At 51.3% G+C, this 22,346-nt stretch overlaps 1 protein-coding gene across 2 annotated transcripts in view, besides 4 other annotated features; it reads left to right on the top strand.

The window, feature by feature from the left end:
* VWF (von Willebrand factor) overlaps window positions 1–22,346 on the top strand; it is a 175,794-nt gene that overhangs the window by 39,075 nt on the left and 114,373 nt on the right. For both annotated transcript variants that reach the window (NM_000552.5, XM_047429501.1), the window contains exons 7-12: window positions 10,045–10,261; window positions 11,855–11,977; window positions 13,154–13,265; window positions 14,253–14,299; window positions 20,323–20,459; window positions 21,212–21,350. In NM_000552.5, the coding sequence (NP_000543.3) occupies window positions 10,045–10,261; window positions 11,855–11,977; window positions 13,154–13,265; window positions 14,253–14,299; window positions 20,323–20,459; window positions 21,212–21,350 (775 nt within the window). The remainder of the gene's footprint in view (window positions 1–10,044; window positions 10,262–11,854; window positions 11,978–13,153; window positions 13,266–14,252; window positions 14,300–20,322; window positions 20,460–21,211; window positions 21,351–22,346) is intronic.
* Window positions 1,263–2,007: an enhancer, noted in NCBI's record as "H3K27ac-H3K4me1 hESC enhancer chr12:6192755-6193499 (GRCh37/hg19 assembly coordinates)". NCBI's record gives its function as "activates a minimal SCP1, AML or CMV promoter by ChIP-STARR-seq in naive H9 embryonic stem cells {active_cell/tissue: H9 hESC(naive)}" and the evidence as "EXISTENCE:reporter gene assay evidence [ECO:0000049][PMID:30033119]".
* Window positions 2,008–2,754: an enhancer, noted in NCBI's record as "H3K27ac-H3K4me1 hESC enhancer chr12:6192008-6192754 (GRCh37/hg19 assembly coordinates)". NCBI's record gives its function as "activates a minimal SCP1, AML or CMV promoter by ChIP-STARR-seq in naive H9 embryonic stem cells {active_cell/tissue: H9 hESC(naive)}" and the evidence as "EXISTENCE:reporter gene assay evidence [ECO:0000049][PMID:30033119]".
* Window positions 10,295–10,344: a silencer, noted in NCBI's record as "silent region_4156". NCBI's record gives its function as "represses an Ori minimal core promoter by ATAC-STARR-seq in GM12878 lymphoblastoid cells {active_cell/tissue: GM12878}" and the evidence as "EXISTENCE:reporter gene assay evidence [ECO:0000049][PMID:35858748]".
* Window positions 14,779–15,073: an enhancer, noted in NCBI's record as "tiled region #3083; HepG2 Activating DNase matched - State 8:EnhW". NCBI's record gives its function as "activates a minimal TATA promoter and a strong SV40 promoter by Sharpr-MPRA in HepG2 cells {active_cell/tissue: HepG2}" and the evidence as "EXISTENCE:reporter gene assay evidence [ECO:0000049][PMID:27701403]".

Here is a 22,346-nt window from a genome sequence, read left to right as displayed (position 1 = left end):
CCCAAGCATTCAATTCAAAGGCCTCCCTAACATAATGTTCCCAAAATCCTTTAACGAACTATTTCTCAGGTGGGTTCCTTTCCCTTTTCCTTTTCCCTGGTGAGCAACAGAATGGACAAGAATCTGATGGTGCCCATAAGTGCATATTCACTGAGATGTTTCATATGGCTTGCGTGATACAACGTAGACTAAGGGACAAGACACGTAAGAGAAATTAAACCATGAAAGACTGTCTGGGGTTAGTAAATGACAAATCGCCAAGTGAATGGTAAGTGATAGCGCAGCTTAGGGGAATTAGCTCCTGTCACAGAGCTGATGCTTTTTTCTTGCTGGGAGCAGGATGGGTGAGTGATTCAGAAAGGGCTGCTTTCCATCCCCAGAGCTTGGTAGGCCCTAGACTGGGAACCAGGGAATGGTGCCCCGTCCTTGTCCATCCAGCCAGCATGCCCTAATCCCTAGAAGCTGCTCAGATGCCTCCAGGAGCCCCAAGGAGAAGGTGAGGAGGGTCCCTTAGAGAGGTCCATGGCCAAGTCTCCTACTTCTCATGAGCACTGGACCCCAGCTATCTTAGAGAGAGGAATGTCAAGCTCTGCAGAAACCATCCATTTGGTGGAAATCTATCAACAGGTTTCACCAGGTCCTTGTGAGTCAGAATCTTGGAATGCGGGTGGGAATCTTGGGCCGGCCAGAAGTTATAAATAGAATCAGCTACCCTCCCCCACCCATCATTACAGCTGACCAATGAGAAAGTATTCCCTGCTGCAGGGTGAATTCTTGAACCCACTACTTTGGAGCAGCTCAGACTCCAGGCGCCTCCATACCTACCAGGGGCTGCTGCAGGGCACCCATCCCAGAGCTAGAAAGATCAGGGCTTGTGGAACAATATTGCACTCTATGTATTAGACTTTCCTTTCTTTGTTCACTCAGTCCTAGGAATGTCCCCCTCCCTTCTCCTTTGTCAGCTGCTTGGGAGCAAACACAATAGCTAAGCTTCAGATCTCTGGCTCTGCTTTCTCTCCTCCTGCTGCCTGCCACTGAGATGTGCTTGCTTTCCCTCCTCCTCCCCTGCACCCGCCTGATGTCTCCAGGGAAGATGCCTGGTCTTCTTTAATGAACTGGAAATGTGATTAAGATGGGCCACAATTGGGCCTGCACACCAACCCAGGCATGGTGAGGTCATGGCTGGATGGGCTGGGGCAGCTGCTCTCCCGCAGCTCCTGGCACGGCCGACAGGAGTTGAAAGAAGACAGGAGTAGCTGATGCAGGGCCTTGGAGCCAGGGAGATGCTGGAAGTGTGCAAATTAGCTGGCCCTTGTTTTGCATCCCTGCCAGAATGGTTTAGCAGAGAACTGAGGAGCCAGTACCGATTGCAGGCAAATGAGAATAGTTATAAGCATTTGATTTCCTGGTGTCATCTCATTTGATTTCATTTTGCAGAAACCATCTAGGGTAGGTCCAAGTACTGCTGTCTGTGTCAGTTAGGAGTAGGTTCAGCTGTGAGTGACAGGACTTATACAATCTAAGTTTATTTATCTCTCATGTAAAGAAGTTTGGGGTAGGATGTCCAGGGCCATGCAAGATCTCATGGTGTTGGGATCCAGGGTCCCTCTGTCTTATTTCTCTGTTGTCCCCAGTGGGGGCTTCTACCTTGTGCACCAAAACGCCGGCTCAAGCTTCAGGCATCACAACTACATTCCCGCAGTAGAAAGAGAAGGGACTAAGGAAGAAGCAGTCCCTTATTTTGAGGACACTTGGTGGAGGTTGCACAAGACCCCTCTGCTTATAGCCTACTGGGTATTGCTTAGTCATATGGCTGCCCCCAGCTGCAAGGGAGGCTGAGAAATGGAATCTTATTCCTAGCAGCTCTGTGCCCCGTGGGGGTGGGAAATTGAAAACTGAGGATTCTGTGACTAAGAAGGGGAGAATAGCTCCTGGACAACTTTCAACCTCTTCCACTTTTCCCCTCTTTCACAGGTAGGGAAATGAGGATGCAGAGAGGCAAGATAATTTTCCTTTTCTTTTTTGTTTTTTGCGACGGAGTCTCGCTCTCTTGCCCAGGCTGGAGTGCCGTGGTGCAATCTTGGCTCACTGCAACCTCTGCCTCCCAGGCTCAAGTGATCCTCCCACCTCAGCCTCTCTAGTAGCTGAGACTACAGGCACGTGCCACCACGCCTGGCTAATTTTGGATATTTTTGTAGAGATAAGGTTTTGCCATATTGCTGGTCTCAAACTCCTGGACTCAAGTGATCTGCCCACTTTGGCCTCCAAAAGTGCTGGGATCAGGCCGGTTGCGGTGGCTCACGCCTGTAATCCCAGTACTTTGGGAGGCCGAGGTGGGTGGATCATGAGGTCAGAAGTTTGAGACTACCCTTCCAACATGGCAAAACCCCATCTCTACTAAAAATACAAGAGTGCTGGGATTACAGGTGTGAGCCACTGCACTTGGCCAAGATCATTTTCTTAAAGTCACACGCTTTGAAAGTGATGGGTTGCGAGAGGCAGAGGTTGCATTGAGCTGAGATCACGCCATTGCACTCCAGCCTGGGCAACAAGAGCGAGACTTCATCTAAAAAAAGAAAGTGATGGGTTGAGATTCTAGCCCAACCATGCTTCTAAAACCTGAGCTACAGCCACTGTATGACCCTGTCTTCTAATCTGATTGCTAGGAAACAGGAGTGGGAGGGCAGGATGGAAAACTGTAATTTGTGGTTTGGAATGGACTCAGGCACTCAGGGTTTGCACCCCATCACTAGTGTTAAAAGAAAAACCTGAGACAAATTAAATTTAACAGGGTTTACTTGAGCAAAGAATGATGCATGAACCAGGCAGCCCCCGAATCAGAACAGGCTCAGAGAGACTCTGGCCTGCCTCATGGTCAAAGAAGATTTATGGACAGAAAAAGACAAGTGACTTACAGAAACTGGAAGTGAGGTAGAGAAACAGTTGGATTGGCTACAGCGCAACATTTGCCTTATTAGAACGTAGTTTGAACAGTGGGCTGCCCCAAGAGGAGGTTACAGTGTGTTTACATCTCCAGTTAGGTTACAGTTCATTATGTAGGGAGAAACCTTTAGGCCTAACTTAAAATATGTAAGGAGGCAGCTTTCGGCTAAACTTAAAATTTAACGATTGTATAGCAGTTCTCCAACTGTTTAATCGCAGGGCCCCTGTATACTCTTAAAAAATAATGAAGGACTTTAAAGAGATTTTGTTTATGTGGGTCATAACTCTTGATACTTACCATATTAGATATTAAAACAAATTTAAAACATTTTTTGATTCATTTTAAAATAACAAGCTCATCATATTTAATGTAAAGAACATATTTTTAGGCCAGGCGCGGTGGCTCACGCCTGCAATCCCAGCACTTTGGGAGGCCTAGGCGGGCAGATCATGAGGTCAGGAGTTCGAGACCAGCCTGACCAACATGGTGGAACCCAGTCTCTACTAAAAATACAAAAATTAGCCGGGCGTGGTGGTGTGCACCTGTAATATCAGCTACTCAGGAGGCTGAGGCAAGAGAATTGCTTGAACCCTAGAGGCAGAGGTTGCAGTGAGCCGAGATTGTGCCACTGCACTCCAGCCTGGGCGACAGAGCGAGACTGCGTTTCAAAAAAAAAAACACCATATTTTTAAATAAAAAGAACGATAAATTCCAAGCCAAAAAATAATTTAGGGGAAAAATGACACTGTTTTACAGTTTTGCAAATCTCCTTGCTGTCTGGCTTCAGATACATCATCTGGACTCTCATATCTGCGTCTGCATTTAAATCTGTTGGGATATCTCATGTCTCATAGCCTCGGAAAACTGCACTGCACTCTGGTGAAAGAGTGAGAGAAAAAATTGCAAATAGCATCTTAGTATTATTATAAAAACAGTTTTGACCTCGTGCACTGCTGAAAGGATCTTGGGAGTCCTAGGCGATCCCTGGACCTCACCTTAAGAACCACTGACTTAGGCCAGGTGCCGTGGCTCACTCCTGTAATCCCAGAGCTTTGGGAGGCAAAGGCGGGTGGATCACGAGGTCAGGAGATCGAGGCCATCCTGGCCAACATGGTGAAACTCCGTCTGTACTAAAAATACAAAAATTAGCTGGGCATGGTTGCGCGTACCTGTAATCCCAGCTACTTGGGAGGCTGAGGCAGGAGAATCCCTTGAACCAGGAAGTCGGAGGTTGCAGTGAGCTGAGATCGTGCCACTATACTCCAGCCTGGTGACAGAGCGAGACTCTGTCTCAAAACAAAACAAAACAAAACAAAAAACACCACTGGCCTAGTAAATTCTTTACCCACTCCATGCTTCAGTTTCTAAATCTGAAAGGCTGTCTGTATCAGCCTTTGTCTGAGGAGAGCTGTGTTCTTTGGAGGTGTCTTCAGGCCTCTGAAGGGCCCATTTGTGGCATGGGTGATGAGATGGTCTCTGAAAGTACTTTAGGTGGGCTAGGAGAGAGGTCAGCTGTGGAGAAGGAGGTGAGGTTTGCCTCAGCCTTTCCTGAACGCAGGAGGATGGGCGGAGAATCTGTGGAGGGCCTTCTGGGCAGGGAGCTCTATGAGCCAATAGCCCCCCGTGACTGAGTGGATGGTAAGAGCCAGAGATGCCTGGCCTAGGCATCCCGCCTGGCTCCTGCTGCCCACCCCACCCACTGGTGTGCATGATTGTGCCAATTCCCACAGGAAAAGAGGGCACACGGAGCCGTTTCTAAGCCATGGAGGGCATAACCTAGGGGGAGTGAGAGAAAGGGGTCTATGAGAACTTCGCGCAGGCAGGAACACACGCGGAAGGGTCTGAGGGCGTGGGAACAGGCGGAAAGTAGACACCTACTCAAGGAGAGCTTGGTTGGGTTTGGATTATGATGGGGCCGTAACTACCTGCTAAGAGAAGCTGAGGCCACAGACTTGGAACAGCCTCTCAGCGGGCAGCTGTGCCTTTCCTGGGGAATCTGTCGGCAAGACTGGGCTGGAGTCTTAGTGCTCGGCTCAGCCGTGGTGACTCTGTTTCTTCTCCTGCCTGAGCTTATGCCATTGGCTTCACCTGACATGGCCTCCCTCCTGCCCTGCAGCCTAAGTCCTATGTTGCATCCAGGGCCCTGTGCAGACTGCCTTCTGTTAGGCAGCCTTCCCTGATGTCTCAGCTGCAGGTTTCTTGCTGCTGCCATTGGCTGCACCATTGGGAAGACACCTCTAGGTGAGAACCAAGTCTTCAGGCTGTTAGGCAAACATCCCCATGGAAACACCCGGTTCAGGTAGATTGAATGCCAGTTAAGAGCTGGAGGGCATGAAAGGCATGACTTACTCCTGTCTGCGTTCATCACTGTTAGGTTTGATTCAGCATATCCTTATTCCCTGCCATGAGTGCCCTGGGAATACAGCTCCTGTCTTTGAAAAGCTTGCAGAGAAATGGAGGAGACGGCCACAGAAATGGACCATTTCAGTACAAGAATAGAGGCCCCCAGAGGGCTGTGAGAACACCTAACTCGGCAGAGTGGGGAGAAGGACCTGTCAGAGAAGCCTTCCTGGAAAAGGAGGCTCTTGATCTGAAGTGTGGGGTGGGAGTTAGTGGGGGCCAAAGAAGGGGGAAATGCAGGAGGGCAGATGGGATGGGTAGAGGGCAGATTTCCCTGCTGGGCTTTATGAGGGGGATCTGTTTGCTTTCTATTGCATTCCTTGAGCCTGGCACAGTGTGTGAGGTGGGGAGCAGGGAGGGTGAGGCTGGAGAGCCAGGCTGGGGTCAGATCATGAAGGCTGAGCTTCCTGGCTTTGCTGTGTCCTAATGAGCTAGAGCTTTGCCCTGTCAGCCAGGGTGGGACATACATAGTTAGACTTGCATTTTATATGGGCTTGGACACCCTGCTGGAGACCCAGAGGCCACACTGCTAATGCTTGTTGAGTGAATGTTTTGGTCACTACCTGCATCCCAGTGTCTCTGCCACGAGCCTGAGAGTACAAGACGCCAACTCCTCTTTGGACCTATTTTTTTTTTTTTTTCGAGACAGAGTCTCACTCTGTCGCCCAGGCTAGAGTGCAGTGGTGCGATCTCAGCTCACTGCAAGCGTTGCCTCCCGGCTTCATGCCATTCTCCTGCCTCAGCCTCCCGAATAGCTGGGACTACAGGTGCCCGCCACCATGCCCGGCTAATTTTTTTTTTGTATTTTTAGTAGAGATGGGGTTTCACCGTGTTAGCCAGGATGGTCTTGATCTCCTGACCTCTTGATCCGCCCGCCTTGGCCTCCAAAAGTGCTGGGATTACAGGTGTGAGCCACCGCGCCTGGCCCTTGGACCTGTTTCTGTGTCCTGTCTCAGGACCTGGTCTGGTCTGGCAGGGCTACCTGTGGCAGAACAGGGAAGCTGGGAGCAGCAGAGATAGCCACCTAAACATGCCATGTGGTATGGCTGCAGGTGAGTGCGGATCCAGCTGCAAGTCCTGCCTGGCTCTCAGCTGTGCCCACTCAGGTGGACCAAGTTCAGGCCAAGCCTGACCAGAGGAAGACTGAAGGACAAAATGGGAGGACAGACTTTATCTTTTGTTTCTGCTAAGAAAGAAACCCTAGGCAGATTTCAGAAGTTTGTACAGTGGAGGCCAAAGGAATTGTTCTAAGAAGGGAGGTGGCTGTTTCTGCAGAAATCCACTCCCATCCTGCAGGCAAATCATCAGAAACACCCTTCTTGCTAAGGCTTTCTATAAGCCATTTAATGCCTCCAGGGACCTCCCAGGAAATGTGCTGGAGTACTGTTCCCATTATCCCTCTGAGTGGGAAAAGAGTGATTTGGAAATGCTGGAGATGGGCCATGCTGGGCTCTGTCTGGTCACGGCTCTGAGAGGGGAGGGTGCCTGGATTCCTGGGTCTCTTCTTTCCCTTGGCTGGTACTGTGTCCTGCTGGTGAGAATCCCTGGTTCCTTGTCCCTGTGCCTGCAGGAATCAGTCCTGTGGTGCAGGGACTGCTCCGAGCCACTCTGCTACAGCCCAGGTGATGGCAGCAGTCATAGCAATGACCAGGAAAACCCCAGGGAGTGCATTTTTGAGGTTTTCTCTAGTTTCAAATTGTGGGTGGGGAAAAGGCTAGACAATAGCCTGAGCACATGACCCTCTCTGGGACACCCTCATCTGCACTCTGAGTTCAGTGACGTAATTCTCTGAATGACATTTTTGATGGGGTAGGCAGCATGGCAGAATGGAGGGAAAGACACAGGCCTCAGTCTCCTTCCCTGAGCCCCAACTTGGCAGTGAGGATGGGAAGTTCTGCCTATTGCAAAGAAGAGAGGTTCCCTCCCTGCTACTAGAAACTCACTTTGTTCTGGAGAAGTGTGAACTTCCCAAATGAAAGATGAATACAAGCAGCCCCTCTGTTCCCTAAGGAGCACGCAAGATACTAGGAAGTGATAATGCTCGGCAACCATTCATCTCAGTATAGCCCAGGGTGATGGAGATAAGGGGAAAAGGAGAAAGGTGTCCTTCTGTCCTGCTGGGGACCTGCTCACTATTCTAGAGGGTAAGCCTAGTGGCCGGAGGGATCTCTCTGGAGGCCAGGAGATGATGAAGATGATGATGATGATGATAGGGGTCATCATTTATTAAGGTAAGTCTTCCGCGTGCATATTCCATTCAGTCTTCACTAGTCTTGTCCCAGAGGAACTGTTACTATTCTCCCCTGTTTTGCAGAGGAGGGGTTGAGTAAACAGCTTAGCTCACACGCTAGCATGGGGAAGACGCTGGGCTGAATCTGGGGCTGTGGAAGTCATGATGAGGCCAAGGCAGGCCTGCCCACCTCTGTCAGTCTCCCTCGTCATTGCTTTCAGAAGCCTCAGGTTCCCCTTGTGTAAAATGCTCAGGGTGACCAATGGAAGGCTGCATGTAACCACCTGAGACCTAAGTGGTCCCGGGACCCACAACAGTGGCCTGCATTCATGGCTGGCCTACGTGGTGCTGGCATTGTGGCATCTTCACGTGGCCCCAACAGGCCGTCTGGGACTGGTCATTTCCACAGGTCATTCTCACTCTGGGACACTCTTCTCTGACCAGGTGAGCTGATTTGCCTAAGTCCCCACCGCCAGTAAGTGGCAGAGCTGGGCTTTAAGGCCTAGGCTTGTCATAGCCATGCCGTGGGTGCCCGCCCGGCAGAAGGGGATTGGGCAAGGCAGGGCCGTGGAGGGGCTGCTGTTGGCCCCGAGACGCAGAGCAGCTGATGGCTGTCCCCATGAGCCTACCTGCTGCACTTCTGCAGTTGAGCAGCCCATGCCGGTGGGTGCTTTCCTAAGGTGCAGAGAGAACCCGGCTTGTTTTTTGAGACAGGGTCTCGCTCTGTCACCCAGGCTGAAGTGCAGTGGCACAATCTCAGCTCACTTTAACCTCCACCCCTGCCCCGCCGTTCAAGCAATTCTCTTGCCCCAGCCTCCCGAGTAGCTGGGATTACAAGCATGCGCCACCACGCCCCACTAAGTTTTATATTTTCAGTAGAGATGGGGTCTCACCATATTGGCCAGGCTGGTTTCAAATTCCTGATCTCAAGTGATCCGCCCGACTTGGCCTCCCAAAGTGCTGGGATTACAAGTGTGGGCATCTTTTCCAGGCCTGCCTGCTTGGCTTTGATGGTGAAGTGGGTGGAGGCCTAGCAAGCGGCAGGGCCCTAGCACCAGGCATTGGGGCTAGAACACTGATTTCCTTAGGACCAACGTCCCTGTGCTGCCGGACTGGATTTCGAGAACGGTGAGCAGATGGGGTCAGGTTTCTATTCCTGTGGGCTTTCTGTGGCGCCGCAAAACAGGAGGCCCACAGGCCTGGCCCCTGGCCCCGACTGTAGATTTATACAGGCTTGCTCTGGAGACCCTTGGTACAATTCAAGCTGATTGAATTTCCCTCTCCTCAAAACGGGTCGTTTCTTTCCTCTTTTTTGCTGTCCCCTTTCCCAAATACCAACTGGCTCCAGTTTACCCTTCAGGACCCAGTCCTTCCATTGAGATATTCTTGCACTTTTTTCTTTTTAGCTGAAGATCATAAGTTTTTTCATGAACTTGCAGCTTTGTCAGTCAGAGAGTATTGCATTATGCATCCAAGAAGTTATGCAAGAAAGAAATCATGGGGATCATATATATCCATGACTCTGTGTTGTGCCAAAGCTAAGAAAGACATCATGGATTCTAAGACACACCATTGTTCTGTGTATCGCTCAGAAACAAAAGCCTACCAATTCAAATATGATAGCCATCCTAAGACGCAATCCAACTTCAGAGATGTTACACTGTGGGAAAAAGGTGTATTTAGAGTCATTAACATACAGAATGGAGAGATGTTTCTAGGTAAAACGTAGGGTCGTTGATACTCGTGAGTGAGCAGAAGTAGGAAATGATGACAATTCCAAAGCTGCCTGTGTTATCAGGTTGAGGGCATCAGCAAAGTGGTAGAACCAAGAATACTCGTGCTTGCTGCAGTGTGTCTGGGACATTCCACAGAATCAGCGCATGCTGTTGCTGATGGGAACTGGTCCCGTCTGGCCCCAGCAATCACCTGGGGAGTGTTTAAAAAAAAAAAAATCTTGCTGATCCCCATCCCAAACTACTGCATTCAGATCTCCTAGGGTGAGACCCAGAAATCTCTATAAAGCCCCTTGTCCCATCCCCCTCATTCATAGTGAAGAAGATCAAGGTCAGGGAGGGGAGCTGAACAGGTCAGTGCAGAACCGATGCTGACAGCATTCCTGGACTCTGCAGCCACCCAGGCCAACTCCAGGGCGCATGCTCTTTGTGCTTCTCTCCATCCTCTGTCCGTTCCTAGGACACTGCCCACCATGGCAATCCAGGGCCTTGGACTCTGCATTTCCAGGACTCAGTCTAGGATGTAACCTTAGCCTTGGTCTACTTCACATTGCACGGGTCCAGCATCTTTTCCTTGGTCGATGGGCTGGTGCATTGAACACATGCATGTGCTTGGTGCCAGCCTGTCCCAGGTGCTGAGGGAGCTGCCTTGGTTTCCCTAGCAGGGCTAAGTCTCAGTGCCACACTCAGGGAGACACTAACGGAGCATACCGCTGAGGCGGCCCCTCTTCCTGCAGGGCCTGTGGGAGCAGTGCCAGCTTCTGAAGAGCACCTCGGTGTTTGCCCGCTGCCACCCTCTGGTGGACCCCGAGCCTTTTGTGGCCCTGTGTGAGAAGACTTTGTGTGAGTGTGCTGGGGGGCTGGAGTGCGCCTGCCCTGCCCTCCTGGAGTACGCCCGGACCTGTGCCCAGGAGGGAATGGTGCTGTACGGCTGGACCGACCACAGCGCGTGCAGTAAGTCGGCCCCCTGCCCCGTCCTGCCCTGCCGGGGATGAACGGTCTGTCCTGGGTGGTGTCCCTTAGGGTGCTTCGGGGCTGTGTCACGTATGTGCGGCTTTACCACACCCAGCCAGCCAGTGACTACAAAGCCACGTGTCCCGGACCCATTTCCTGAATGGCTCCTGCCCTCTGTCAAACGGGCTTCCCAAAGCCCCGTGTCCTGCCCCTGCCTCCGTCCCGCCCCCACGCCTCCCCTGGCGCCCCCTGACTTCCCTCAGGAAATCCGACCCCTGCACTCACACAGTGTTCTCTGCTTCCCACCAAGATCTTGGCAGTTGCGGTTTTGGTTTTTGTCTTCACCGCCTGCCCGCCCGAATTGATGAGGAGCAGGACGCTGACCTGGCTGTCCGTGTGTGGTGATCTTTGAGAGAGCAGAAAGCATTCATTAAGTTCTTCTCTTTTATTAAATCTCTCTCCTCCAGGCTAATGACCGCTATCCCTCCTGCCTTACTCGTGCTGTGTGTTTCATCTTCCAGTCTCAATGGGTGCCTAGTTATGGTCACTGTCCCCAAATTATCAGGATTAAGTGGGGACTTCTGAGGTCACCTTGCAAGAAGTCTCCTCTTTCCCCAGCCCTTCCAGTGATTAAAAGCCATGCAGACGGATAAGCAGTCTGTGATGGTTCCACAGATGAGCTGAGCCGGCCACATCTTTACACTGCACACGTGTGTCTCAGTGTGTGGCAAATAGCTGCTGAATTCAAACTTTCTGCCTGTGGTGGGGGTGTGAGGAAGGAGGATGCTAGCAGCTGGTTTCTTCTCTGTAAAGCCGAGTGGCTGTTTTTTTTTTTTTTTTTTTTTTTAGGTCTGTGAATGTAGGGTAGGGGAGATAACCTGATGTATCTTGGAGAAGGGTTAAGGGGCAATAGTTTGGTGTCAGAAAGCCCAGAAAAGAGTGCTTATGTGTTTCGGTCTTTCAGTCAGCCTGAATGTCGCTCAGCTACAGGGTAGAGAGAGGAAGGAGGAGAGCCTGTCCTTGCAGTGAGGAGCTGGTTCCATTGGGAAGAACAGAGAGTGCTTAGGTGATATCTGTGAAGGCAGCCTTGTGGCAGAGTGGAAATAAATATGGAATGAGTGTCACCATGCAGGCAAATGTGCCCTGTGCTGGGTGGGGCATTTGATTGGGGCCAATTTCATGGGGAAAAGGAGGAGGGATGGGATGGAGGGCACCATGGCTCCTTGCTTTGTCGTAGGACTCCACTTGTTTTGAGCCTAGAGGAGTTTGGTGTCACTCTGAAAGGGTTTTAGGTGAAGGGGAGGAAAGAATGCCAAGTTATACATGGAGAGCAGGCGACCAAGGGGAAGGGTGGGGGTCCTGGGTGCCCCCGATGGGTCTTGGTAAGGGCCTCACAAGATGGAAGATGTTCATCTAAGGGAGGGGTGGCCTCAGGGGGGCACGTGGCTCACTGGGGGTGAGAAGGACCTGGAAGCCTGAAGACAGAGGGGAGCAGTCAGAGTGGGCACGAGAGGCTCAGGCTGTGGCATGGCTGGTGAGATGATGCACCGGTGGGACCTGCCCTGGGTAGACCCCTTTGATGTTCCTTTTCAGGCCCAGTGTGCCCTGCTGGTATGGAGTATAGGCAGTGTGTGTCCCCTTGCGCCAGGACCTGCCAGAGCCTGCACATCAATGAAATGTGTCAGGAGCGATGCGTGGATGGCTGCAGCTGCCCTGGTAATGAACTTCCCACTTTATTTACAGATCAGAGACCTTGCCAGCACCCTTGGCTTTGGGAAGTGAGATGAAGGCCACTTGTGTTTGCTCCCCGTTGCTGAAATCAGAAGCCTTTTATTAAGTTTTTAAATGTCTTTGTCCAGCGTGATCAGGATTGAGCTGGTCTTTATTTTTAATGTACGTTGTCCTGTTGTACTGTATCCATGAACGCACTTGTGTTGAGGGAAATTGGAGGGTGGCCTGGGCCCCAACAGTAACTTTGTTTGGGGAACTCGTGGCCCATCTGAGCTGAGCTGTTTTCTCAATTAGGTGTGTCAGGGAACCGATCTGGGAAAAAGATCTCCTGGGTTTGTCATGTGAGCTCAGCTGAAAAAGGGCTCTGCACTAGAAAGTCTTTTCAGGGGAGGCTTGGTGGGCTTTGGGGAAAACCCCTGTTTAATTACTGAGAGCAAGGCTGGGTGCGGTGGCTCATGCCTGTAATCCCAGCACTTTTGGAAGCCGAGATGGGCGGATCACTTGAGTTCAGGAGTTTGAGACCAGCCTGGCCAACCTGGTGAAATCCCGTCTCCACTAAAAATACAAAAATTAGCTGGGGGTGGTGGTGCACACCTATAATCCCAGCTACTTGGGAAACTGAGGCAGGAGAATCACTTGAACCCAGGCGGCGGAAGTTGCAGTGAACCGAGATCGCACCACTGCACTCCATCCTGGGTGACAGAACGAGACTCGGTCTCAAAAAAAAAAAAAAGTTATTGAGAGTGAGTCCTGTGTGTTTCAACTCATGACTTCTCTACTGGAAGAACTTGAACAAAACTCTTGACTCCCTTCATCTGTGGAATGGTAATGAGTAGTCTTCTCCCTCTCACGTTGCATTAATGTGTAAGGGAAGCAGCACACACATTCTTGAGCTTCCTGGAAGAAGCCCTAAGCCCAGACTTGTGCCTCCCCTACTGGATGACCTGGAACAAAATTCTTTTGCTCATGTCTTCATCTGTAGTAATGGAGATGAGGAATTTCCCTTCCTTATATTGCATTATGTGAAAGATAAACACCACAGAACAAGTTCTTTGAGCTTCCTGGAAGAAACCCAACCATTGTCCCTGGGGATTCTATAGTTGTGGGATGAGTGACGCAATGACAATGTTGAGGCCTTTGTCTTGATGCCCTTGACCCCAGAGGGACAGCTCCTGGATGAAGGCCTCTGCGTGGAGAGCACCGAGTGTCCCTGCGTGCATTCCGGAAAGCGCTACCCTCCCGGCACCTCCCTCTCTCGAGACTGCAACACCTGGTAATGGGGGCTGCGCAGCGTGCTCTGGGAGACCTGCCTGGGGGACTGGGGAGGGAAGCTGGGTCAGCAGGGGTGGTGGCAGGTGGAAAAGAACCTGGACCGTGCCAAGAAAGAAGAGACTGAGTTGGAGGCTACTGGTGGGGGCTAGGGACAGGTGTGGCAGGCAATGATGGGGAGCAAAGAGTATATTACAGATAAATAAGCCTTGAAGATGGGGAGGTCAGGAAGGGCAGGATCCTTCACGTGCAGACATCATCTCTAGCTGTCCCTCCAAACTATGCTTTCATAAATGATCCTTTCCCCCTGGAGGAGGGCTGTATCACTAAGCAGTACGTAGGTCCTTCTCTCCTTGAAATCTCTCATCTGCTAGGTGGTAGGAAGTTGCAGTGGCCAGTGGAAACTCACACCAGTCTGCCCTCCCTTGGTCCCTGCAGTAGGCCAGGCCCAGCCTGGCTTCTGTCATCTCAAGAAGCACCCCTGGATGTCACCTCTGGCTGGCTTTGCCAGTCTCCTGCACAGCAGGGACAACTCGTTTGGTCCCCAGGCCTCCTCCCTTTGCTATCTTAGCAGCCTTCTGTGTGCACTGAGCCCCCAGGTTCTCAGTCGGCCACCGCCCACCACACTTCTGGGCTGGGAGCTACCCATTTCCATATCGCTCTCTTGCTCTCTGCCACTCACTGTGTGTGGGGTAGGAATTTGACTTCTTGGTATCTGAGTAGATTTTCAGGGGGATCAGGTAGTTTTTTTTTCTTTCTTCTTTTTCTCTGTTGGGGTTTCTTCCCCTGGGTAATATCTCTAAGATTCCTTTGTGGCCAAAGCTCTGTCCTGTACAATTTTAACCCTATGAAGATTCTGCTAGCACCAGCTCTTTTCTTTTCCCACATCCCTTCGTTTGGGGACTGTGATAACTACCATGAGCTCTAAATCCATTTGCATACCCTTGTGTTTGCAGAACCACCAATGACCTGTGCTTTTTCCCTCCAACAGCATTTGCCGAAACAGCCAGTGGATCTGCAGCAATGAAGAATGTCCAGGTAGGCGACCTGCCGCTCATTCTCTTCCTCCTTCCCTGAATCGGGGAGGCGTCTCCTCCTCTCTTACCAGACAGGGAGGGCCACAACTCAAGGCAGCGAGAAGTTGCCCTCTCTGCACAGGTTGGCTGCAACCACGTGACCCCAGCTCTGGTTTCAGGTACCAGCTATGCTAACCCATTCACAGGCCAGAGGTGGGAGCCCTGCAACAGCTGAAAGCGGAGAATGCACCTGCGTTCAGATGTTATTGTCTGTCCTTATTACCTGTTTGCTGAAAGGATTAAGGTTGATGAGCTGTAAGGCCTGTATGGTCATGATTGACTAAACAAAGAGGATACACATTCTTTGGAAAATTAAGAGGTAGAAGGGCCTGGTAATTCTTTAGGCTTGAAGGGACAGTTCTAATGGAACTTTCCAGAATGCCTAATATGAAGACCATGGCGTGGTCCAAGAGCTCGGAAAACCAGGTCACCAAATGATTCCTCCCATCCTGTCCCTGCCCTGGAAAATCTGCTTAGGAAAAATTATTGAGCAATCTCTGCCATTTGCTTTCTCCTCTGTTTGGCCCCAACTCTATTCTATTTACTGCAAACCTTGCCCATTCAAAGCTCCCTTCTGCCCCACCTTCCAATGACCTCAGACCTTGCCCTCTGTGCTCACTCACGTGGTGTTTTCTATGTGCTGGCCACTGTGCTAAACACTTTCCGGTTACAACCTGTGAGGCAGGTGCAATTTATTCTCATTTTAGGAAAGCAGAAACAGACCTAGAGAGGTTAAATGACTTGCCCAAAGTCACACAGCTGCTACGAGGCAGAGCCAGGGCTTGAACTCACAACTGCCTGACTTCTTACTTTTTCCCTTCCCTTTCTTCTCCTTCCCAGTACTAACCTTTGGTGGCCTGAAGTGGGTTGAGCTTGGATACCTGGGACTGTATTTAGGGTCTGTGAGTTAAAGACTTTAGGATGACTCAGGACCTCATCCAGTGTCCTCTACACTGGGAAAATTCTGGAACTAGATGTGGGCTAGATCAGTTAGTCTTGCAAAGAGATGGTCACCCAGCCAGGTTATCTTTTGTGTAACCCTTAAAGAAGGCACGAAGGAGAAAAGATTGCTCTTGAAAGGGATATCTGTGCTCCACTGAACGTAATTACACCATGTCCAAGACTAAAGGAGCTCTTTGGAAGACATATGAGTTGCTGCAATTAACCTGTGAAAACACTTTTAACATTTAAATAATAAGCACTCATTGTATGAGATCTGTGAGCCACAGTGGATGGAATTAGGAATTCAGTTTATTGTGTGTGTTTTTTTAGACGTTTGTAACCACCAGATTAGGAAGTTTTAACAAGTACTTACTATAGGGTGAATCTTCCGTCCATCATCCTTCCAACTGTCCATTCATCCAAGTACTATTTGAACACCAACTATGTACATGATGGACTGTTTTCTGGGGCAGACAATACAGTCCTCTGGTCTTCAATTCAAAATCTAGAAGATGACTTTGCTGAGGATGTAAGACATTCTCTTGATGTCTTGATGAAAAGATAAACAGTGTCAATTCTGTCTACTAAGTGGTTTGATATTTTGCCAACAAAACCACTACGCTCTTCTCTGCATTCTCAAAGCCCTGGCTCTGACCATCTTTTTCTAGTTTGGGAGTTTTGTTGATCATCGCCTCCCGGTCCATTTGCACCCACGCACACAAGCATATTTCCACACCCTGCCATGACTCAGCAGGCAGTGGGGCTGTCTGATGCTCCCAGTGTGATGACTGCAGATAGAGCTTCTGATGGGAAGAATAGGCGGTATGGTTCTGGAGGGGATATGCTTGGCTCTGCTTGTAAAGTGAGGAGCAGGCCGGAGCTTCTCTGCAGCCCCTGGAGGAGGATTAGAATGACATCAGCCATGTGAGAAATGGTAGGAGCCAACCCGGGAGGCAGTTTTAGGTGGCATCAAGGGCTCTGGGCTCTGCAGCTGGACAGACCTGCCCGTATTCAGATCCCTGTTCAGTTTCTTTGGGAACTTGGATGAGTTGAACTTCTCTATGCTTCAGTTTCCTCATCTGTAAACTGGGGATAATAATGAGCACTTCATAGGAGCAATCAATGAGATGGTTTCCATGGAGCACTTGGAAATGTATCTTATGCCAGGCATGGTGGCTCACGCCTGTAATCCCAGCTTTTTGGGAGGCTCAGTGGGCAGAGCGCTTGAGCCCAGGGGTTGGAGACCAGCCTGGGCAACATGGTGAAACCCCATGGCTACAAAAAATACAAACATTAGCCAGGCATAGTGGTGTGTGCCTGTAGTCCCAGGTACTTGGGAGGCTGAGATGGGGGGATCGCTTGAGCCTGGGAGATTAAGGCTGCAGTGAGCTGTGATGGCATCACTGCACTCCAGCCTGCTGGGTGACAGAGATCCTATCACACACACATACACACACACACACACACACACACACACACACGCAAAAAAAAAAAAAAAAGGAAGAAAAAGAAAAAAAAATGCATCTTGGGCCAGGCGCGGCAGCTCATGCCTGTAATCCCAGCACTTTGGGAGGCCAAGGCAGGTGGATCATTTGAGGTCAGGAGTTTGAGACCAACCTGGCCAATGGTGAAACCCTGTCTATACTAAAAACAAAAACAAAAACAAAAAACCCACAGAAATTAGCTGGGCATGGTGGCACATGCCTGTAATCTCAGCTACTCGGGAAGCTGAGGCAGGAGAATTGTGAGAGCCCCGGAGATAGAGTCTTCAGTGAGCCGAGATGGCGCCACTGCACTCCACGCCGGGCAACAGAGCGAGACTGTCTCAGGAAAAAAAAAAAGAAATGCATCTTGCACATTTGGTAGAGATTATGTTGCAGGCTTTGGTGACAATTTGCATCTGGTGGAAGTCTGAGTTGCTTTGCTAAAGGCCTGTGGGTTGGGCATTTCTGCAGGGAAGGCTTTGGGAGGTAGAGGGTTGTGGGGCTGGGGAAACAAATGGTCTGGAGCAGGGCAGCCGCGTCCAGGGCTCACTACTGCAAACCAAAGGGTTTGTTTAGAAGAGGTAATGTGCTTCCATTAGGTGAGAGGTTCCGTTTTGTTTTTTTTCATGAGGCAGGATCTTTATTCACATAGAAATGGATCTGCTTTAACTTCTGGATTTTTTTTTTTTTTTTTTTTTGAGACAGAGTTTCACTCAGTCGCCCAGGCTGGGGTGCAGTGGCGTGATCTCAGCTCACTGCAACCTCTGCCTCCTGGGTTCAAGCAATTCTCCTGCCTCAGCCTCCCGAGTAGCTGGGATTACAGGCACCTGCCACCACACCCGGCTAATTTTTTGTATTTTTAGTAGAGACGGGGTTTCACCATGTTGGCCAGGCTGGTCTCGAACTCCTGACCTTGGGTGCTCCGCCTGTCTCAGCCTCCCAAAGTGCTGGGATTATAGGCATGAGCCATGACGGCCCGGCCTGGATGCTCTTTTTTTTTTAAATGCAGTTTTAGGAATCACCTGCCTTTCATTCATTCCCCAAACTTCCAGTGCCCATCTCCATCTAGTGGTGGGCCCGCTGTTCGTCAGGAGCTGCCTGTTGCTGACTGATGGGGAATATCCTAGTGTCCCATCCTGGGTGGAGGATGGGTGAGCGTGTTCGCATGGCCCATAGTTCTGGCTGACGTTCTAGCTCCCGTGGCTAACGGCTACCTGGCAGCTCACCCACCCATTTTCCTGTGTTTGTGGCTCTGTTGCTCAGTTGTACCGAGGAGATAAGCTCATATAATATTTAGACTTCTGATTTGCGAGAAACTTGGGAACACAAGTCAGTGAAGGTCAGAGAAGGAAATCAGATGAGACGATTAGATGCTGGCCCTGAAAGTTTTCCTTTCGAATATTTGCACATTTCTCGTTGACCCTTCTTTTCCTGGGTATTGTTAAAGAAGACAGAAGTCCATTTTCTTGCTTAGATAAGAGTGCTCTGAGAAAACACAGAAAGGCAGGGGGAAGAATTCCCACCCATTTTTACTGCCCTGGGGTCAAGACATTTGACACAAATGACCATATTACTGTGTTTGTAGAATGATGATAATTTCTGAAAAATGGTCAGTTCAAAAAGGCTTTCCTGAGACCTCACTGGACTTGAAATTACAGCACATCCAGAATGGGCTGGGACGATCCTGGCCCCTATCTTGTGGCCTGCTCTGTCCTCCACGAACAGTCACTCCTCACTCCCGCTCTTCTAGAGGGGGCAGCGGAGAAGGTGGGCCATGCTGATGGGAGTGATCTGGGGCCTTTCCACTTTCTCCTAATTTCCTCTGGGCTGGATGTGCCCTCCTGACCCATGCTGTCCTGGAAGGGATCCACTGTCCTGGGGACCAGGCAGAGGGATGTGTACATCCCTGAGGCACCTCATCCTTAATCCTGCCTTCATACACATCTCAAAGGCAGGCCCACACCTGGGTCCAGTACTGCACAGTCTAGCCTGGCCCCTGGCTGGGCCTGTCAGGGCACATGCGAGCATGAAGTGCCAGACAGTGAGGGCCTGTGGAGCTTGTCCTTGACAAGCTAGAATCTCTCTGTGCCTTTTGGGGACCCCTTGGCTGTGTGACAGGGCTAGCATTAGCCCCTGGAGCTGGGCCCACATAGGATGGTCTGTAGGACCCTCTTACATTTGTCTTTCCAACGTTGGTCTAGCATCTGTTCCCCAAAGGGGGAACTTCAGGTGGAGGCTGAGGTAGCGCTGTAGACAGCCAAGCTTCCGCTGTTTGGAGGGTCTCAGGGGAAGCCCTGTGCACTCTATGTGTCCTCATCTTTGCTTTGATCCTTAGAGAAAGGAACTCACACATGCACCGTAGAGTGACTGGGTGGGAAAAGTCTTCCTCCTTCACCAAATGGCAATGGTGTCTCTCTCTATATATATTTCTTTTTCTGTAGAGTAGATAGCAAAGATGAGAGCAGGTGGAGGAAATATATAGGGCAGGTTGGGAAGGGATCCAGATGCCCTTTTCAGCTTTGATGGGTCCATGTTTGGCCCTGAAGATGGGATTGCCTCAAGCCAGGCAGGTTGATGGAGAATCACTGGAGACATTGGCAGAGGCCTCCCCCTGCCAGGACACCTTCCAGGATGTGTGATCTCAGTTTGGAGGTGCATTGGGCCACAAGTATGGGGCCTAGGCTGGGGCGTGGGGGAGATGGTGTGGGAATTAGGGTGGGGACAAGCTGAGGGCTTTGGGTTGCAGGGTGATGAAGGGGAGTCCTAGTCCCCACCCACAGATGTGTCAGCCTGGGCTGGGAAGCTGGCGCTGCCGAGGTCAGCACTGCCTGGGTGGTGGTGAGATCATGGGCAGATGGCCTCCTGGTTCCCCATTGGCCCTGGCTGGAGTCACAGCGTGGGCTTGCCCCTCTGAGGACGCAGAAAGCAATGGCCTTAGAGTTGCCCCTCTGCTGGTGAGGAGGATGGAGTCCCCATTTTCACTGCTGAGCTCCAAGACTGTCCTGCCTCACCCTCCCACCTCATCCTGCCTCTGGGCTGCCTACTCTGCCCCCTGGCCTCCAGGGACTCTCCAGGGGTGACACTGTTTCCCAGAGCCTCTCCACACTCAGGTTCAGAGAACCCTGTGCTATTGGGCAGCCTCCCCCTGGCCAGGCATTCCGCTGGCACCAGTCTGAGGCTGGTGTGGCCCTGATGCCAGCAGGTAGCGTGGGACATGGCAGTGAGCTGTGAGGGAGGAGGGGAGGCTGCAGGGAGCCTGGAAGCAGGAGCGTGGGTTCCTGCGTGGTTCCACCACTGACTGAGTGTGGCTCTGTCACCTTCCTTAGTTGCCCCATCTGTAAAATGAGGCCTTGACCTGAATGACCCAGCTCTGACATCTTGCAGTTTTAGGAGCAGGAACCGAATTTTCTCGTAGAACTTGTTTTTAGACTGGTTTGGGCAAAGGACGTCCATGCAGTTTTGGGGAAGGGCACCCTGCTTGCATATGCATTCCACCTTGGCCACCCCAGGGGAAGTGCCCTCACCTCCCATTCTTCTCCCTTCCTCTGTGTCTCTCCAGGGGAGTGCCTTGTCACAGGTCAATCACACTTCAAGAGCTTTGACAACAGATACTTCACCTTCAGTGGGATCTGCCAGTACCTGCTGGCCCGGGATTGCCAGGACCACTCCTTCTCCATTGTCATTGAGACTGTCCAGGTGAGCTTTGCCAGCCCGGCTGCTGGTCGGGTGGTAGCCCAAGGTGCTGCATAGCTGCTAGGCTGAATGGGCAGTCCCTGGAAGGCGTGGGGCATTGCTTTCTGTGCATGAGGGAGGTCTCTTCCAGACTTCAGTTAGCTCCTCATTCATCCAGAAACCCAGCCCATCCCCTCTCTCCCTAGATGCTGGCGGAAGGCATCCTGCCCTGACAATAATGCCTCCTCAGGGCTGGCTCAGCTCCCCACCCAGTGGACGCATCCTGCTTGGGTCTAGCCTGTTGCCCCCATAACTAACCCTCTGATGTTTGGAGCTGGGGATGGCTGGGGTGGGGGCAAAGAGGGCTGGTCTTCTCTTCTGAACTCTGTGGTACATGTGTGGCTTCCTTTCTGTAGGGATGGAAGCAAAGATGAGGACGAAGAGAATGCACAGGGCTTTCCTTGAGGATCAAAGTCTTTGATTCTCTTTGGAACAGTAGGTCCAAGGAACACGATGAAGCAGAGGCCCATGGTTCTTTATAAGAGACTGGGCCAGGCTGGGAGAAGGCGTGTGCAAGGATGCACTTAGCAAGCCTTCTTGCTGCACAACTCTAGGGGGCCCCATTCACATGGAGTATTCTGGGAGAATGGAGTTGTAGGTTATGAGAAGGCCAGAGGCTCTCGGGTTGAGGCCTTTCTCTGATTAAGAGGGTCCTGGGCTGGGGAGCTGGATAGGCAGGGGGTGCAGCAAAGTCACCCTGTGTTCCCTCTTGGCAGTGTGCTGATGACCGCGACGCTGTGTGCACCCGCTCCGTCACCGTCCGGCTGCCTGGCCTGCACAACAGCCTTGTGAAACTGAAGCATGGGGCAGGAGTTGCCATGGATGGCCAGGACGTCCAGCTCCCCCTCCTGAAAGGTATGCTTCGTCCTGCTCCATCAGGCCTGGGGCTGGCACAGCCCATCCCTTAGCACCCTCCTTCTCAACCCTGGCCACTGTCCTTAAGGACCTGCATGCCTCTTCCATGGGAATGTGATGGAGAGTTATTTTTGGAGGGCAGGGTGGGGTGCTTGGCATGCATCCCTCCAAGAAAGGAAGGCTTCCTGGAGGAGGAAGACTAGAGAAGGAAGCCTATAGATGAAGAGGTTGCTCTAGACCTGGGACAGAGTGTAGATGGGAAAAGGGAACCGAGAGGATTTTTATTTGGCTTGAACCAAAGGGGCGAGTTGAGTCTTGGGCAGGTGGTTCTGGTTTGCTCTGGGGTGGGACAGGGGCAGAGGCTGATGCTGAGAGATCGGGGGTGGCTGGTGATGTCACACCAGAGGATGCCACTTGGGGCGAGGCCAGGTGACCCTCTGGCCTGTCTAGAGGTAGCAAAAAACCTACCTGTCCAGTATCTTCACCTGGGTTGCACTGTGCCGGTCAAAGCAAACCTGCTTTTGCATGGTAAAGCTCCCAAACTTCACACTCAAAGTGGCTCTCAGACTCTTCCTTCTTCTCCACAACTGCTGGCCACTTTGTCGCCCATTATCCTAGCATTGCACACAGCGGATGAACTTGGGCTAGTGGGTACCCAGCACGTCCATGGGTGTTATGCTGTGTGTCTCCTTATAAGATATGTTTGTTCCCCCAGGGCAAGGGGTGTGCTCCTATCTGTCGCCACCTTCCCACAGAAGCAACAATTGCTGTATTCAGTGTCGTACACAGCATCGCTCAGACATGAGGTGGTGTGCAGTGGCAGAGTGTCCCAGGCACATTCAGATGTCGTGGTGTCAATGCTAAAGAGATCCCCCTCTGCTCCAGGGCACCTGCCTACAGCCCAGGATGCAGGAGCCTCTGCCTCCCTCCTGTGGCAGTAGGGGGAATGGCAGGTCATAGCGGGGGGTGCAGAGGCTTCTTCCTGGGGGACCCTAT

The sequence above is a fragment of the Homo sapiens genome, chromosome 12 (assembly GCF_000001405.40).
Source record: "Homo sapiens chromosome 12, GRCh38.p14 Primary Assembly".
Classification (NCBI taxonomy): Eukaryota; Metazoa; Chordata; class Mammalia; order Primates; family Hominidae; genus Homo; species Homo sapiens.
Note: the sequence above shows the minus strand (reverse complement) of the source record. Positions and strands in the feature narration are given on the sequence as shown.